Source organism: Homo sapiens, chromosome 15 (assembly GCF_000001405.40).
Source record: "Homo sapiens chromosome 15, GRCh38.p14 Primary Assembly".
Lineage (NCBI taxonomy): Eukaryota > Metazoa > Chordata > Mammalia > Primates > Hominidae > Homo > Homo sapiens.
In genome coordinates this window covers 70,800,443-70,801,547 of record NC_000015.10, presented here as the reverse complement: position 1 = coordinate 70,801,547, position 1,105 = coordinate 70,800,443, and positions in this window count along the sequence as shown.

The window sequence follows — 1,105 nt, the reverse complement described above, 5'->3', positions numbered from 1 at the left end:
CCAAAGTCGATAGATGAGCTATAACAATATTTACCATTTCTGACTTAAAGGTTTCTATTAATTTTCTAAAAAGAAGTGGCATCCCAGTGATCTATTACTCCATAACACACAAAAATTCAGTGGCTTAAGACTACAATTTTACTTGTTCATGATTCTAAAGGTTAGCAATTTGGGCTGAGCTCAGCTGGGCAATTCTGCTGACTTTGTCTGGCTACAATCATTTGGTGGTTTGATGAGGACTGGACGCTCTAACATGGCCTCATTCACATGACTCGCCGTTAGAGCTGGCTGTTGACTGGGCCAGGTATCTGCAGCAGGCTCACTTAGACTTCTTCACATGATATTTATGTTTCAGTGTATAAGTGCATTTCAAGTCCCTGCTTATAATGTGCTTGTTGGCCGGGAGCGGTGGCTCATGCCTGTAATCCCAGCACTTTGGGAGGCCGAGGCGGGCGGATCACCTGAGGTCGGGAGTTCGAGACCAACCTGACCAGCACGGAGAAACCCCATCTCTACTAAAAATACAAAATTAGCCGGGCGTGGTGGCACATGCCTGTAACCCCAGCTACTAGGGAGGCTGAGGCAGGAGAATCGCTTGAACCTGGGAGGCAGAGGTTGCAGTGAGCCGAGATCGTGCCATCGCAATCCAGCCTGGGCAGCAAGAGTGAAACTCTGTCTCAAAAAAAAAAAAAAAATGTGTTTGCTAAGGTCCAATTGGCCAAAGCAAGTTATGTGCTGGAGCCCAGAGTCAGTGTGAAAGGGACTCCATAAGCACATGGATTGAGAGAGGCATGATTTGCTGGGAGCCATTATGGTCAGATACACCCCAGACAGGATGGTACTTTGTTTATCAGAAACTTCCTGAGTGCTTACTATACTGTGCTTGGCACTGAGTATAAAAAGACAAAGCAATTGGGAAGAACTTTGAAGAATGGAAAAGCTCTAACTTGTTGGAAAGGGGGAAGAAGAACACAGCAAATGCCCTAGTGGAATCACTGTGGGTGAAATAATCCTCGTGTTTATGTATGTGTGTGTGCCAGAAAAAAGGGGAGTGCTGAATTATTTAGATAATTTCTTCTATTCGCCATTTTATGCAGATTTGTTC